Below are 15,790 nucleotides of genomic sequence, written 5' to 3' on the forward strand. Positions count from 1 at the left end.
CTCTTATATGAGGAGGCTGGAGGAGGTGGTGTCTGATTTATATAGGGCTCTAGGGACTGGTTTGACCAGGCATGCCATTCATGAAGCCTGCAAAATAACTGGCCTTCCCAACAAGACTTTTAATATGCAAATACAGGGCGCCAAAATATTCTATACACATGGGGATATGTGGGGGCAGCCTTGTTGTCAGGCACATGTGGGGGCAAGGAAGAAGATGGTGGGAATTGACAGGTTTGGCTGGACTCAGTTTCTAATGGCCGGAATTTGCAAATCAAAGCTTCCCAGCCTGGCTCTAAGAGCCAGGGCTTTCCTGCTAGACAAGAAACGTTTCTGGAGCTGCTTTAAATGAAAGAAAACCTTACCAAGGACACTCTTTTCCTATCCGCCTAAAATAATTTCTTAATAACTCCTGTAACACTTGGGTTCCAGAGATGAGGACATGGACATCTTTTAGGGTAGAGACATTATTCATCCCATTGACAATAAATATATTCCCCCAAATTGCCTTTCTCTAAAGTAAAATTTTAAAAATCATGAAGTATTTTTTATGAAGCAAGAGAGCTGGCCAAAATCTTAGACTCAGGTTCCTTTAAATTGTGAGCTTTAACTGTTAAGGTATGATCATTCCACTGTCTCTAATGTAGATTTATTGATGTGTAGATTGTTTTAGAGGATTTTTAAGTTTGTGACCAGTATAAACAAAACAGTATCTGAGACGGGTCTCAATCAATTTACAGGTTTATTTTCCCAAAGCTTATGGCCTGTGACACAGCCTTAGGATGTCCTGCAAACATGTGCCCAGGGTGACAAGAATACACATTGAAATACTTTGGAGAGACAGAAATTACAGGGAAAGACATAAATCAATACATATAAGATTTACATTAGTTTGTCCTGGAAAGGTAGGATAGCTTGAAGTAGGGGCTTCCAGGTCATAGGTGGATTCAAAGATTTCCTGACTGCCAACTGGTTGAAAGAGTTAAGCTCTGCCTAAACACTTGAATTCATCATAAAGAAATGCTTGAGTTTAGAAAAGAGGGTGTGGAAGCAAAGGTTCTTGTCACCTAGATGAATCCTGTGGGTAGCAAACAAAGTAGGTGGCTAATGTTGTTTATCAGACCTTAAAAAAAAGTCAGACTCTTTGGAAAAGACTTAGTAAGGGGAGGAGATTCTCTGCAGAATGCAAATTTCCCCCACAACAGGCAGCTTGCAGGGTCACTTCAGAATATGTCAAAGAAATACTTTTAGGGTAAAATATTTTGATTTTCTTCAGGGCCTATTATCTGTCATGTTGGAGTATGGTATCTTATTGCTACAAAGCATCTGTTTTGTCAATCCAAAGATCTCTGTTGTAATGATAATGCTGGTCAGTTGTGTCTGAACTCCAAAGGAAGGACCATATAATGAGGTACATCTAAACCCACCTGCCAGTCGTGGCCTAACCTAGTTTTTCAGATTTCTTTGAAGTTCTCTCTACCAAAAGAGGAGTCCGTTCAGCTGGTTAGTGGCTTACAACGTAATTTTTTGTTTTAACACACACACAAAAAAAATCACCGCATAAATTCAATCTAAAATAGATTGGTTAAAAAAAATTGTGTGTTTCCTGAATATTCCTACATGTCGAAGAAAGGGAAATGATAAAAGAATTCAGATGAGAAATACCCCTCATACAAAAGATTAATGATTTTATTTACTATCTTAGTTTGGGTCCACCAGCAATGAGGATTCCTGTTTAGGCAGCAAATTTACACTGGGAGGAAAGGAAGAAAGTGAGGGAGGGAACAGAAGATGAATGGTAAAAGACACATCAACAACCCACCTGACTCAGGATAACTGAAGATCAACCACATGTGGAAACATGGACTAAATTCCTCTGGGCTATTCCACCTGAGAGACGAGGAAGCTGAGGTATGTATACACCTCATCCTGTCCTCACTGATTGTGAGCTGTCTCTCTTGTTCTCTTTCAAGCTGCTATAACAGGTTAGGTTCCTTGACACTGTGTAATTCATAAAGAACAGAAATTTATTTTCTCACATTTCTGGAGAATGGGAAATTTAAGATCAAGGCATGGGCAGGTTAAGCTCCTCTTTCTCTGCTTTCAAGATGACGCCTGGAGCTTTCAGTCCTTCAAAGGAACGAAGGCCATGTCTTAACATGACAGACCAGCAGAAGAGACAGAGAGATTCCAGCCCCATAAACCCTGTTTATAGTGGCATTAAGGTATTCCACTAGAGGGCTCCACCCTCATGATCTAACACATCTCAATAGGCCCCACCTGGCAATACCATTTCACTGAGATTTAACTTTATAACGATGGATTCTGGAGGACACAGTCAAACCATAGCACTTTCCTAAGAGATACACATTGCAGGCCATCTGGCCGGCAAGGCATGCAAGCAGACCTCTCTGCCCAAGATCATGAAGCACATAAGACATATATATAGCCATTGGAAATGAGCAGAGATACAGCAAAGGGAAAAGCCCTAGACTATAGATGGGGACTGCTACATTCATCATGGTACAGTTAACCCTTGAATAACTTGGGTTTGAAATTTGCAGATCCACTTATATTTTCTTCTGTGTGTCACCTGTGAGCAAGCGCTTAATAAGTACTAAATATATTTTCTCATTTTTAAGGTTTTCTCAATAACATTTTTTCTTTAGCATACTTTATTGGAAGAATAGAGTATATAATATGTATAACATAAAAAAGGGTTAATCAACTATTTATTTTATCATTAAGGCTTCCAGTCAAAAGTAATCTATTACTACATAAGTTGGAGATGCAAAAGTTCTACACAGGTTTTCATCTGCACCAGTGGTCAGTGCCCCAACCTCCACGTTGTTGAGGGGAAAACTGCTCTTTCAGTCTGTAGCCACATCTCTCTGGAACAGGATCTTGGCAGGTGGGTTGCAAGTAAAGGAATCCAGAAAATAACATCTCAAACTGTGCTGCATTTGTATGATGATTATATAAAACCAAAGGCATTTAGAAAGCAGGAAATGCACAGGGGGCTTTTCCTAAACATCCCCTACCTGCCTAAAAGCAAATTCTTCAGAAGGAAACCAATTTTTAAGAAAACTCTTCCTGAGAATTTTTATGTCAGGGAAGATTAACACAAAAGAGGAATCAAAAATGGAAGAGACTCAAAGTTGATACTTTACCTAGGGAGGTGATTACCTGTTCTTTTGAGGATGCATTTCTATTCGCATCTATTCTCTCCAGGTTGCCTACATTTCCCAATTACCTCTTCCCTAGAAAGGAAACATAAACACCTGGATCCCATTGAGTTATCTGGGTAATCACCTTGCTATGATATCCTGCTGCACTTTAAGTGAATTTTGTTTGCCTTTTCTCTTATTAATCTTCCTTTTGTCAGTTTATTTTCAGCAAACATTTAGAGGACAAATGGAGCTTTCTTCCTTTCTTCCAATATAAGCAATTTCCCTTAAAATTCAGGCAGCTTATAAAGCAGCAGGAAGGTTTGTGCAGAGGCTACAGCACTGTGATTTGGCTCTCCTAGTCAGGCATCAGTAAAATTTTATGGAGTCCTAGGCTGCAGCCCACTGATGCTGATGTAGTTGGATCCACTTCCCCTCCCACGGAACCAGGCCGGGACATTTTTGGGCACATTAGAGATATGAGATATAACGAGTGCAAATCCCTGTCCAGTTTCATCTGGAACCAACTGATTTCTCCATGTACATGGGCAGTTGCTTGATAAAAGATTGAGTGCCTCTTTCCAAAAGATGTTAACAGGGATCTTGGTGTCTGGGTCAGGATGATGTCCCTGATAAAAAGTAAAAGAAGAAAGTGTCACCTATGGTGCGTGGCAGGGACATGCTCCATGCGATGATCACCCTCACTAAGAGAGATGAATGTTGGGAAATAATACTTAATGGCAGAAAAGAAGGTAGACTATGAAGGTGCCCAAAACAGGAATAAGGTGCAGCCCATTTAGTCTCTGGGTATTAAAGAGACCTAGAGCTCTTGATAATGGTGGATCTGTAATTGCTGCATGCATTGAGGAAACACGGTATCAACTTAGTGTATCTGAAGTAAATTGCTTGATCTTACAGTGGTAAGAACAATGGCATAACACCATTACCTAACATTTACAAATATATGTAGCATCATGTGAATAAATTTTATTTTTAATTTTTTTTTTAGAAAGGAACAATGTTAAACTCACAGAAATGTTGCAAGTATATGATAAGTACCACCTTCCCTAACAGAAATCACATGAGAGTCTTTTGAAGACCTGAAAATTGTAGGGTCTAAAATTTTACTATGTGTTTCCTACAAAAAAGAATATTCTCCTAAATAATCCCCATACACCAATGAAATACATTGCTCCATCGACTCCCAAGGAATATTTCAAATTGTCAAAAAGAAACCATAAAATGTTTCCCATAACAAAATAGTCCCCAGTAGAAACACATTCTCTGCAGACAAATTTGAGCTACCTTGATCTTACCTGGGACAGGTGGGGACACTGAGCTGGTGCTGAGTTACTCAGATGCGCCAGCTCTGCAGCTGTGCCCAGCCTGCCCCATCCCCTGCTCATTTGCATGTTCCCAGAGCACAACCTCCTGCCCTGAAGCCTTATTAATAGGCTGGTCAGACTTTGTGCAGGAATCAGACCCAGTCAGGACACAGCATGGACATGAGGGTCCTCGCTCAGCTCCTGGGGCTCCTGCTGCTCTGTTTCCCAGGTAAGGATGGAGAACACTAGCAGTTTACTCAGCCCAGGGTGCTCAGTACTGCTTTACTATTCAGGGAAATTCTCTTACAACATGATTAATTGTGTGGACATTTGTTTTTATGTTTCCAATCTCAGGTGCCAGATGTGACATCCAGATGACCCAGTCTCCATCCTCACTGTCTGCATCTGTAGGAGACAGAGTCACCATCACTTGTCGGGCGAGTCAGGGTATTAGCAGCTGGTTAGCCTGGTATCAGCAGAAACCAGAGAAAGCCCCTAAGTCCCTGATCTATGCTGCATCCAGTTTGCAAAGTGGGGTCCCATCAAGGTTCAGCGGCAGTGGATCTGGGACAGATTTCACTCTCACCATCAGCAGCCTGCAGCCTGAAGATTTTGCAACTTATTACTGCCAACAGTATAATAGTTACCCTCCCACAGTGTTACACACCCAAACATAAACCCCCAGGGAAGCAGATGTGTGAGGCTGGGCTGCCCCAGCTGCTTCTCCTGATGCCTCCATCAGCTGAGAGTGTTCCTCAGATGCAGCCACACTCTGATGGTGTTTGTAGATGGGGACATGAAGTCACCTCTGCACCCTAATTCTTTTCTCTTTCTCAGCACCAACTTCACAGACATAGCAATGCTTCTCCTTATTTAATAAAAACAGAGATCATGACACCTGAGGAGTCTAGTTTATGGCTTCAGTTGGAAATCATAATGCAGAAGAAGCCACTATAGATATTCTAAGCAGGAATAGTCTTAATACAGAGAATTAGAATAAACTACTGAAGTCTAAATAAAATGTAGAGATGAATCTCTAAATTTAATGTTTTATTTGAAGAGAAATATTTGCCAAATGAGGCATACAGGAAAATTCAGTGGTCTTCAGTATGTTGGAAGAACAAAGAAAAAGTCAGTGTTCCATGAAAAAGGGAAATATTACCTATTGAACTTTGAGAAAGTTCATTGGCACTAGGAAGGGTTGGGAGCTGGCAAGCTCAGACTGGTAAACAGTGGTGGACAAAGTGAATCCTAGAGTTATATCAAGTTATCTCAGAAATTGTGGATAAATTTGATTTCAGGTTACAATAAGCCAAAGCACTGAAGGTTGCAGAGAATTTTCTTACTGAAATACCAGGGACTTGGTGTAGATCCTGCAGCTCACCACACAGAAAGCCAATCTCGAAGACAACAAGTATTGCCAAGGAACAGGCTTTAATCAGGTGCTGCAGCCGAGGAGATGGGACGCCATTCTCAATTGTATCTCTCTGACAAAATAAATTAGGGGTTTATATAGGAGGGAAGAAATGTTGAAAACAGGAATTAGGGAGGGGTAAGGAAGATAATTTGGTCAAGAAGAAGCAGGAGGTCAGTTATGCAATCACAGCGGGTGAAGGTTCTGTTGTCTCACTGTCCCGATTCAGTGATATGTAAGTTTCAGCTTCTTAATAGTATCTGGGAGGCCTGATGGTTGGTTTACTGAAAAAAGGACTCAGGTAAGACAGACGTAACTATCTTGAGTTTTAAGACAGGGAGGGGGAGACAATTTCTAAGTTTATTCAAAAAACCATAAACCTTAGTTCCATGGGATAACAGGGCCTATTTCAATTGCATTCCAGAAGCAATATTTTGCACCCTGAGTGCCTTTCCCCACTAGGTTTCTTGGCTCTGTTGGGTATAACAAGAATGAACCAATGCCTATGATTAACGTTCAGACTACAGCCTTTCAAAGACAAGGATACAGTAGTCAGGAAAGTTGATATTAGAGGCAGGATTCTCTGGTTCTCCCTCAGAAAACAGAATGCATCCGCCCCTAAAGTAAGGGCTTTCTAACCATGTGGTCCTCAGTCCTGTCTGGAAGCTTAGGGGTAGGCGTGCTGATGCTCTTAGCTTCCTGCAGCATCCTTCCAGGTGTTTCTCTAGTCCTCACCTCTGTCCTTGTACCTGTCTTAGTTACCAATGGATAATATTGAGTCTTCCTTTTCTGATTTCCAAATCTCATGGGAGGAACTCTTATTGGGCAACTCTATAGGACACAAGCACAGCAAAAAGGGATATTTACATAAGTTAAAATGATTTTTACCCCAATGAGTCCATTTAAATAAATTATATTTGAAGCCACATGTTGAAAACACATCCAGCTTTATTTTCTTATTAATGCAAATTTACATTTGCAAATATTTTCAGGATTGTAAAGTTTGAAAACATAATTATTTGTTCATGGAATGATCAAACCCTTCTATAATTAAATGGAGTAAACATTTTCTTGAAAATGTGTACTCACTGAAATAAAGGAATATATTTAAAATGTGTGAAGCTATGTTAGAAATTATTGGACTTAAATTCAACTGTGCAGTTTGATTTGGGATGTTGTTCACTCCTGTGACCTGCCACAAGAATCTTCTGTCATGTGTAGTCACTGCTGTTCAGCCTTGTCCTCAGACAATTCATATCTGTAGTCTGAAGGTGAGCTCAGTGCCCTGCAGAGGAACGACTCATCAGAGCCCTTCCTTGGTCAGCCAGAGGATTGTGAACGTGAGCATCCACGAACACGAAAACAAATGTTTACTGTTTTCTGTCACTGAGTTGTGTATTTAACCAGTAACCAATCATTATGCATAAAGGCTTCCTGATACGGTATTTACACCTCTACGTGTATATAAACATATGTATTTTTTTCTTAAATTGGTGGTATAAATGTGAATATTTAGTGATCAATTTATGAAGTTATTAAGAGAAAATTAAGAACAGAATTAAAACTAGTATTTCAATAAAAAATTAAAATTTACCTTATTTATGGAAAAATGTGCATATATATAAGATACATAGAAGTGAATATATATTTGTTTGATAAAATGTTGGCTACAAATATATATAGTATTCATATTTAAGCACATTTATTCTATTATGTATGCAATACTCTTGCTACAGAAAATTTCTTTGTAGCCTTTATTTTTAAAACTTTACCAAATGGTTGACCTTACCTAAAATATTTTTCCAACCCAGTAGAGCTCCAAGGGTAGGACTAGAGCAAATTTTGACTAATGTTGAATATTAACCATTGCATCCTATGAAAGTCTCCATTATGTTCATGCCCACAATGATGATAGGCCAAATAGAGTTCTCACAACAATGCATGCTGGATGGAGTCACATTAGTGTCATTGTCAAAGAAGCACTGGAAATGTAAAAATCCTAACCGTGGGTAAACTGCAATGGTTACATCTGATGATCCCATTGCAAGATAACAGCAGTTTAATAAATATTGGCTGTTGGTTTTGACAGATCATCAAGTCTTAAAATAAATGCAACAGGCTGATTTCAGACAAAGTCATTCTGCAAAAGCTATGACCAGACATTTCAAAAATGAGCCATAATAAAAAAAAATGCTTTCCAAGTGAATATTAAGTGAAATGCCATTAACAAGCAGGGGCTTTTAATAATCAGGATGATTCAACACATGGACTTCAGTCAATCACCTTTCCCAGCTTCCCCAGGTAGCCTCATGAACCAATGTTAATAAGGTCCCTGTGGGGACTCAGTAATGTGAGTTTCAACTAACTGAGATGTACAGGGCTATTGGCTCTTCTGAACACCTAATTTGCCAAGAAAACTGATGCCTCTTGAACCCTTAACATTGTACCACACATCAGGGCTCAGACTAACAGCTGGTGTCAGGTGATTCTAGTGGACCTCATGCAACATGAGGAAGGCACTGGTTATTTGCAATATATGAATTTGCCTTCTTTTTCGGTTATGTTTCTGCATAAAATATTATTTGAGGATTTTCCAAGTGTTTTCATCAGAGTCAGGAATTTCTTCCATAATATGGCTTTGGATCAAGCAGTTTATTGACCTCAAAAAAAGTGAAGCAAAGTGTAGCTCATGATCTTGTCATGTGCACAGGTGCAGCTTACCCTATAGACAAAGAAAAACCCATTATTAGTCAAGCAACGCTGGCACACAAACTCTTGTGCTATTGCATTGTTATGCTGTCAGATGTGGTGGAGGCTCTGAAACACTGTTACTCTCATGAACAGAATATTTATATATTGAAAATGAGCTGTAGACTCATCATTGCTATGCCCACTGAACAGCTTGAAATACTCTATTTCTATTTTCTCAGGGCTGTGGTTTTCTGGCTGATGGTTCTTAATCCAAACAGTTGACATGACAATTACTGCATGAAATTGGAAGAAATGATATGATAAGCATGTGACCATTCAGACTCAATACAATACTGGATAAGTTGTCAACACAGGGCGTTCAGATGTGTGCTGGGACCATAGATCTAGCCCGTATAAAGCAAGAGCAAACATAATTGACTTTACATATTTTAGAGAGGAAGTACAGAAAATATGGACCCTAGGGGACCTTCTGGAATCTTTCTATTTATTGCCATTTCCACTGGTAAAACTTAGAGAAGATGTCAACAGTCATTAGGATGAAGTTCTAGGGATCACAGTCATGTGAAGCATTACTTGCACTTGGATCTCCAGTGAGGCAAAGGGAAGATGAAATGCATAGTGGGATGTGGAGGGGTAAACACCAGAGACAGACACCTGGTCAGCTTCAACGTTGAAAAGTGTATTTATTTTTTCTCTTTAGTTTTATCACTGAATCATCTGGATCTAAGAAAAGCGATTATGGCTGGTTAGGCAGAAAGGTGTTTATTATCATGAATTAAATGGATTGAAAACATTTGGGGAAACCAGAGTGGAAGCTCAGGCAACTCCAAGTACTCCTTTTGCTATTGCTTGACCTTCCTCGTCTCCATATTTTCCACAGTCAAGAAAGATACTCCCATTTTATAGGAACCTGGCAAGTGAAGATATTGTGCCCACAGGACTGTGCTGCCTGGCTGTGACTCAGACCAGGAAAATGAGCACATTTGAGTGAGATCAGGCATTTCCCCTCCTTCATCTCAATCCAAAACGACTCTGTAGTAACACATCTGATGGGCAGTCAGAGAAAGGGGTCAGATTTCTAGCAGTTGACAGTTGATACCAGAGCTGCTGTCCTTCTGGGGGCAGTAGTGAGAAGAGCCGCTCTCTCTTCTGCTGCAAGAGACAGCTTGAATGTGGAGTCTCAGACAGCAGGAGGAGCTCCCCCGACCTGTGCCAGCAGTACGATTCTTGGAATTGTTCTAGAGGCTTTGACTGGAGCCTGTTTTTTAAGGCTTTTCAACAATTTGTAAGGAATTTAATAACCTCTAGTAAATCCCTTTTTGCTTCATGGATTTGACATTTGCAACAGGGAATATACGCAGTCCGCAGTGACATCATTCACAGCCTCCTTTATTCTTGCTAAATATAATGCTTTCCAGGTGGACCTGCCAGAGGAAGCCGATATGAACAACAATCCATGTCACCAAAAATGCAAGACAAATAAGCTCGGGAAAGCCACTGGATTCTTACGTAGCTGCACTGTCCCCCTGAGTCTTTTTTTTTTTTTTTTTTTTTGGTCACCTTAGTCAAAAGCATGAACAAATTTGACAACTTTGAATGGAGCCCTTTGCAACGGTAGCCTTGGAATCTATTCAACTATACATGTCCAAGGCATTTCTTTAAGACCTTTAGAGCCTGCTTGTTCTATGTAAATCCAGGTGTCCACTATTTCTAGGCATGCTGACTGGAGTCTGTGGCAATGTAAAATTGTCACTGGGTGCACCAGACTTAGATTTTGGAGACAAATGTTTCCTGAAGCAGCCATCATTTGTGCCTCTTTTGAATGGCAACTCCTTACTTGCTGTAGGAAACTGATAGGGCCTGAGTATCTCAGAGCTAGAGGACCAGGAGTGACACTGCTATCTTAACTACAGATTCTCACTTTGGTGCCTACAAACACAATCAATAAAACTGGACAGGCCCAACAGATCCAAATTACTAAATGGAAATGTTACAGTCAGAATCAGCCCTAACCAGGATGCCACAATACCCATGTGCCCCATAAACAAATGACAAGCTTGCAAGAAGGGAACAAATGACCCACAGGGGACAATTCAGCTTCTCCTTTGGCCACATAGAGTCAAAGATTCAAAGACATGCCTATGTCAGTATGGCATGGGGCCCTGATGATTGTACAAAACACATGCCAGTGGGTCCACTGGGTGTGGCCACCATCCAGCCAGGGGATGGCATCTTTTGATTGACACTAAACATGGCCATTCTGCCCAATGGGCCAAACTGCATGCAATGATAGCAGCCATGCAGGCTGCCCCTAACACTATATTTTGCTCCATTTCCATTAAATCATGGGCCACTTTCAACAACCCATTCATCTGGTCAGGAAAACAGCAACTGAGCGACTGAACTATTAAAGGATCCCCTGTGTGGAGAAAAGGACTATGGCAATAGCTTGCTTCCTGGACTGCTAAATATATGTCACTCTATTAGATGCTGGGGCTACAATGGCCACCCTTGAGAGGAATTTATGTCATATTTTGGATACTCCATGAGACTTCACTCTGACCAAGAAACAACCTCACTGCCCAATCAGCGTGACAATGGGCACATTCTCGTGGAACATAACGGATGTTCCATGTAATTACCAACACCCAACACTGCCTTCTGTACCTGGATAAACACCTCAGGTATCCTAGAAATATAAGTAGAGGTGATCCTGATGCAGGCTCAATGGCTGCAGACAATGGGGCATCTGAAAGATCCCCCTTTCACCTCTTTGGCATCTTAATTTCTTGATCATGGGATCCTAGACTAGGTCACTGCTTTCGGGGGTCTTATCCTCCTGCCAGTGGTAGTACCCTTCCTTAGACCAGCGAAATGTACTCTCACTATGGCTTAATAATCTGCACTGAGGTTGTGTAAATCAAGGTGCTTCGTCAATCTGAAGAGATAAACCTCTGCCTTCAGTTTGGGGGAAATTGGTGGGCGTAGGAAATATGCTAGCTTTACTAAGGGGGATGTCTAGGTGGTGGGGTAACTGCAAGACAGTTCTCCAATGACCCTGGGCTGACTTAGTTCTCTCCACTTTCTTGATTATTTTAAGAGTTCTCAAGAATAATTGTAGAATGTGCTGGAATTGTAACATCCTGAGATAGAGAGGAACTGGCCAGAACAGCCTACCTGTGCTGTATTCCAGTTTCTCATAGAATGGAATGTTCTTAAGCACGTTAGCCCTGTGCGTCTCATTACCCCAGGATATAAAACCCAGAGTGTCTGCTTTTCCGGGTTCCTGAGCTGTGATGCAAGCGGGGTACACACAGTCGACTCTATCAGCTCCACATAACTTTCGCATGCCTTGGGGGACTGATCCATAATGAGTCCAAGAGTTTTGTGATCCCTTGCTGCTTATCTGTAATAATAAACCCCCTTCATGTAACTTGCTGTGTGGGGGTGTTGTGTTCCTCGCGCTCAGGTACGTTGGTAACCAGTGTACAGTGAACCTGCTTCAAAGATGTCACTGACATAGAGGCAGAACTGGAATGGAGGTTGCTAGGGATAAGGATACAGGAAATGGGGGGAGTATTGTTTAAGGGGTATAGATATTAGTTTTTATAAGACGAAAAGAATTCTGGAGACAGTATCGGTAATAATAGCAGAACATGTGAATATGCTTAATGCCACTGCACTGCACTTTTAAATATGGTTAAGATAGACAATTTCATGTTCTCTGTATTTTCTACAGTTAAATAATTGACATCTTTATTATAGTATTGTTAGCTCAGAAGACATTGCTTTATTTTGTAATTTTCTTAGCCAATGTTCATAAATAATCACTTCTTGATGCCACTGTTCACAAATTGTGTGTGTGTGTGTGTGTGTGTGTGTGTGTACACATGTGGTCTCCCTATGTTGCCCAGGCTGGTATCAAGTTCTTGGCCTTACGTGATCCTTCCTCCTTGGTCTCTCAAAGTGCTGAGATTACAGGTGTGAGCCCGAGCACCCTGCCATAAGAAAAAATGTATAAGACATTTCATAGGGGACTTCTTCAAAATATATATTTCATTGCAGCCACATCCAAAGCCAATCTCCTAAGCCATGTTTCTGTACACAAGTGCACTTCTCCCTCTGTGATGTCACATCCCCTCAGCATAAAGTCACACAGACACATAGGAGAACAAGGCAAGGAGTCAACCCAACTTTATGAGTAGAAATCACTGCAAAGATCTGGCATTAATAGGGTTTAGGTGTTGCAGCACTTCTCCACTAGCAAAACACTCTGATTTGTCTTCCTGGATTGTTTTCTCAAAGGTTTCCTAATATTTAATGCTAAAGCTGAGATTAGAACCTTTTTATCCCGAGTCTAGCTGAATGCTATTTCACTCAAAATGTATTGTCTTAAGGAGTATGATAATAAATATTGAATAATGCCTGTTACTACTACCAATATTCCCTTTAGATCTCCTGTTATCATCCTAAATATCATTACTTAGAAAAAGTGTTTAAAAGGGGGTTAAGACAATATTGATCCTGTTTTCAATATTCTGATACAAGTCAAGCACCCACAAAAGTCAAGGAAATTGTAAGGAAAACATGACTTAATGATCATTAGCCATTCTGGTCACTGTTGAGTGATGATTAAGAAAAAGTCTTAAAAACAAGTAGCTGAAACATTGAGAATTCTCATCAATTCTGGGCTGAGATGTAAAATGGTATAACCACTTTGGAAAACAGTATGACAGAGTATTAAACACTTACTGTAAGACCCAGTAACTGCACTCCTAGGTATTTGCCTAAAAGAAATAAAGAAATATTCATGCAAAGCCTTGTATAATGCCATTCGTGGTAGCTTTATCCATAATAGCCCAAAGTGGAAACAACCCACATGGTCATCAGCAGGTGATGGGATACATTGTGAAATTACTACATATTTAAATAGTACTCAAAAGTAAAGAGTAACACATCACGAGGACACAAGGCGACATGAATGAGCCTAGGAAACAATTATGCTGCACGAAAGTCACCAGCCACAAAAGAATATGTGCTATATTCCTTTATGTGAAATTCTTAAAAAGATAGTGGAATCTATACTAACAATAAGCTGAATAAGGATGGTCTGTTCTGTGAGGTGGAAGCAAGTTGATTGCTGAAGAGCAGGACAAAACTTTTTGGAGGTACAGAAATGTTGTGTGTATTGATTTTGCTTCCAAGAATGTATTTATTTATTAAACCCAACAGTACACTTAAAATCAGTGTATTTGATTGGAATCTTTTTTTTCAATAAAATTGGTTAACAGTGAATAGTGAATAATTGCAAATCCAATTAAGTAACATTGTCTTCACATCTTTTATTCTTGCAGTGTCCTGGAAGCTATATGAGCCAAAAGTTATTTCTGGGAGATAATCTCAGCCTGACACTAAAGAACTGTGTATCTTCTGGCAAGAGCTCACTTTTCTAGGTATTTTTGGATTTTTCCAAGAATTTAAATATATTTCATAGGTTAAATCAAAATGGTAGGCTTTTAATACACATTTTTTATTTATATCAACTAAAATTCTAAGCAATAAAAAGTCATTAAAAATTGGTAAAGAATTTAAATGTGAAGAAATATTTTTTAAGTTAGGGGAAGAGATCCAACATACCTTATAGTTCATATACATTTTTCAGAAATTAAAATTACCTATCAAGAGTTTTTATAAAAACTGTAACACTTTTTACAATGTGTGTTCACTAAATGTGCAGATATACAGTGGGATTGCATTTTTCTTTTATTCTTAAGATATTTATTTTTATATTCACAATGGATATCAGCCTTTAATTTCTTTGTTTCGTTATGTGCATATTAATTTTTGGACTACAGGACATTATGACCTCCTATAATAATTCTGAGAGTATTTTTTATTCACTTGAATCTTTGTGTAACTTTGATAAGTACCATGTCACTAACTACCAAATATAAAATTGGAGTTTTCTGTCTGGGTAAATTTTCATTACAGATTTCTTGTTACTTTTGAGGCAAGAGGTAGGCAGGACTCCGCTCTGGACCAGATGTGAGGCTGGCCAAAACAGGAACAGGGTTCTGAAAGGACCTCTCCATAAGACATACCCACCAGTGCCATGAGAGTTTACCATTGCCATAGAAACATCCAGAAGTCACAGCGCCTTGCCATGGCAACACCTGGAAATTCCTGCCCCTGCCATAGCAACACCTGGAAGTTGGGGCAACACCACCCATTTTCTAGCTATTTCTGAACAACCTACCCCTTAATTATCACATGATTAAAAGTGGGTATAAATGTGACTGTAAAAATGCCCCTGGCTGCTACTCTCAGCCCTCTGCCTATGAATTACCCGTGCTCCGCAGGAGTAGTCACAGAGCTGTAACACTGCTGCCCCATCAATAAAGCTGTTTTCTTCTATTACTGGCTTACTCTTAACATTCCTTCCTGAGCAAAGCTGAGGACTTGCCTTGCATCAGTATTGAGCCAGCCACTCACTACTAGAGATGGTGAGAAGCAGCATTTGATGTGGCAGTAAGACAGTGGAAACAGCGGAGAAGCAAGACAGCAAGAGACAGCAAGAGATGGCACTTTATGAGAAGATGGACACAGTGATCAGCAATGGGCAAGACAGCTATTGGAGAAGTGGCAAGACAGCGATCAGTGAGAGAGGATGAGACGGTGATATGCGCTACAGCGATCAAAGCTACAGAGTTGCTAACATTGCAGAGCTATTAACACTAGCCAAAGACTGTTTTAAGAACCATCATCTTTCCTGACAGGTGGTGGAGCCCTGGGGATGGGCAAGAGGCCACAGAGCCACTGCTTCATGCAGGCCAGCCGCTCCGTGCTCCAGTTCCCCCATAGGAGCCCAACCCACCCGAGCTGGGAAGCCTGGAGAGATCTTCATGCAGGCCCCATGTCAGACACTGCTTGGCCCCATTTTGGCTCCTGCACACCTGTAAGTGTCCCATCTACCCACCTGCCTATATCAGATGATCCAGGAAATAAGGCCTTTGGCTAGATAGTCCATTTGAAGTCCCCCATAGCACACCTGACTACATCCTCATTGTTCTTTCTCTTAGTCATTTCTCCTCTAATGCCATTTTATTTATCCATCAGCCATTTTATTTTATTTTCTGCCCCGATATATGTGTTTGCTTTGCAGTTTTTTCTTTGGG

The 15,790-nt window shown here is 40.3% G+C and overlaps 1 gene segment (V, D, J or C) and 1 further gene, besides 2 other annotated features; both read left to right on the forward strand.

Moving 5' to 3' along the window:
- The window catches only part of IGK (immunoglobulin kappa locus), a 1,378,008-nt gene that overhangs the window by 1,238,239 nt on the left and 123,979 nt on the right, over positions 1 to 15,790 (forward strand).
- Positions 4,664 to 4,718: a sequence feature (IGKV1D-16 leader sequence).
- Positions 4,664 to 5,139, forward strand: IGKV1D-16 (immunoglobulin kappa variable 1D-16). The segment is given in 2 exon segments: positions 4,664 to 4,718; positions 4,844 to 5,139. Coding segments are annotated over 2 exon segments (351 nt in total), but the record flags the coding sequence as incomplete, so codon positions are not given.
- Positions 4,844 to 4,854: a sequence feature (IGKV1D-16 leader sequence).

This window comes from Homo sapiens, chromosome 2, assembly GCF_000001405.40.
Source record: "Homo sapiens chromosome 2, GRCh38.p14 Primary Assembly".
In the NCBI taxonomy this organism is placed as follows: Eukaryota; Metazoa; Chordata; class Mammalia; order Primates; family Hominidae; genus Homo; species Homo sapiens.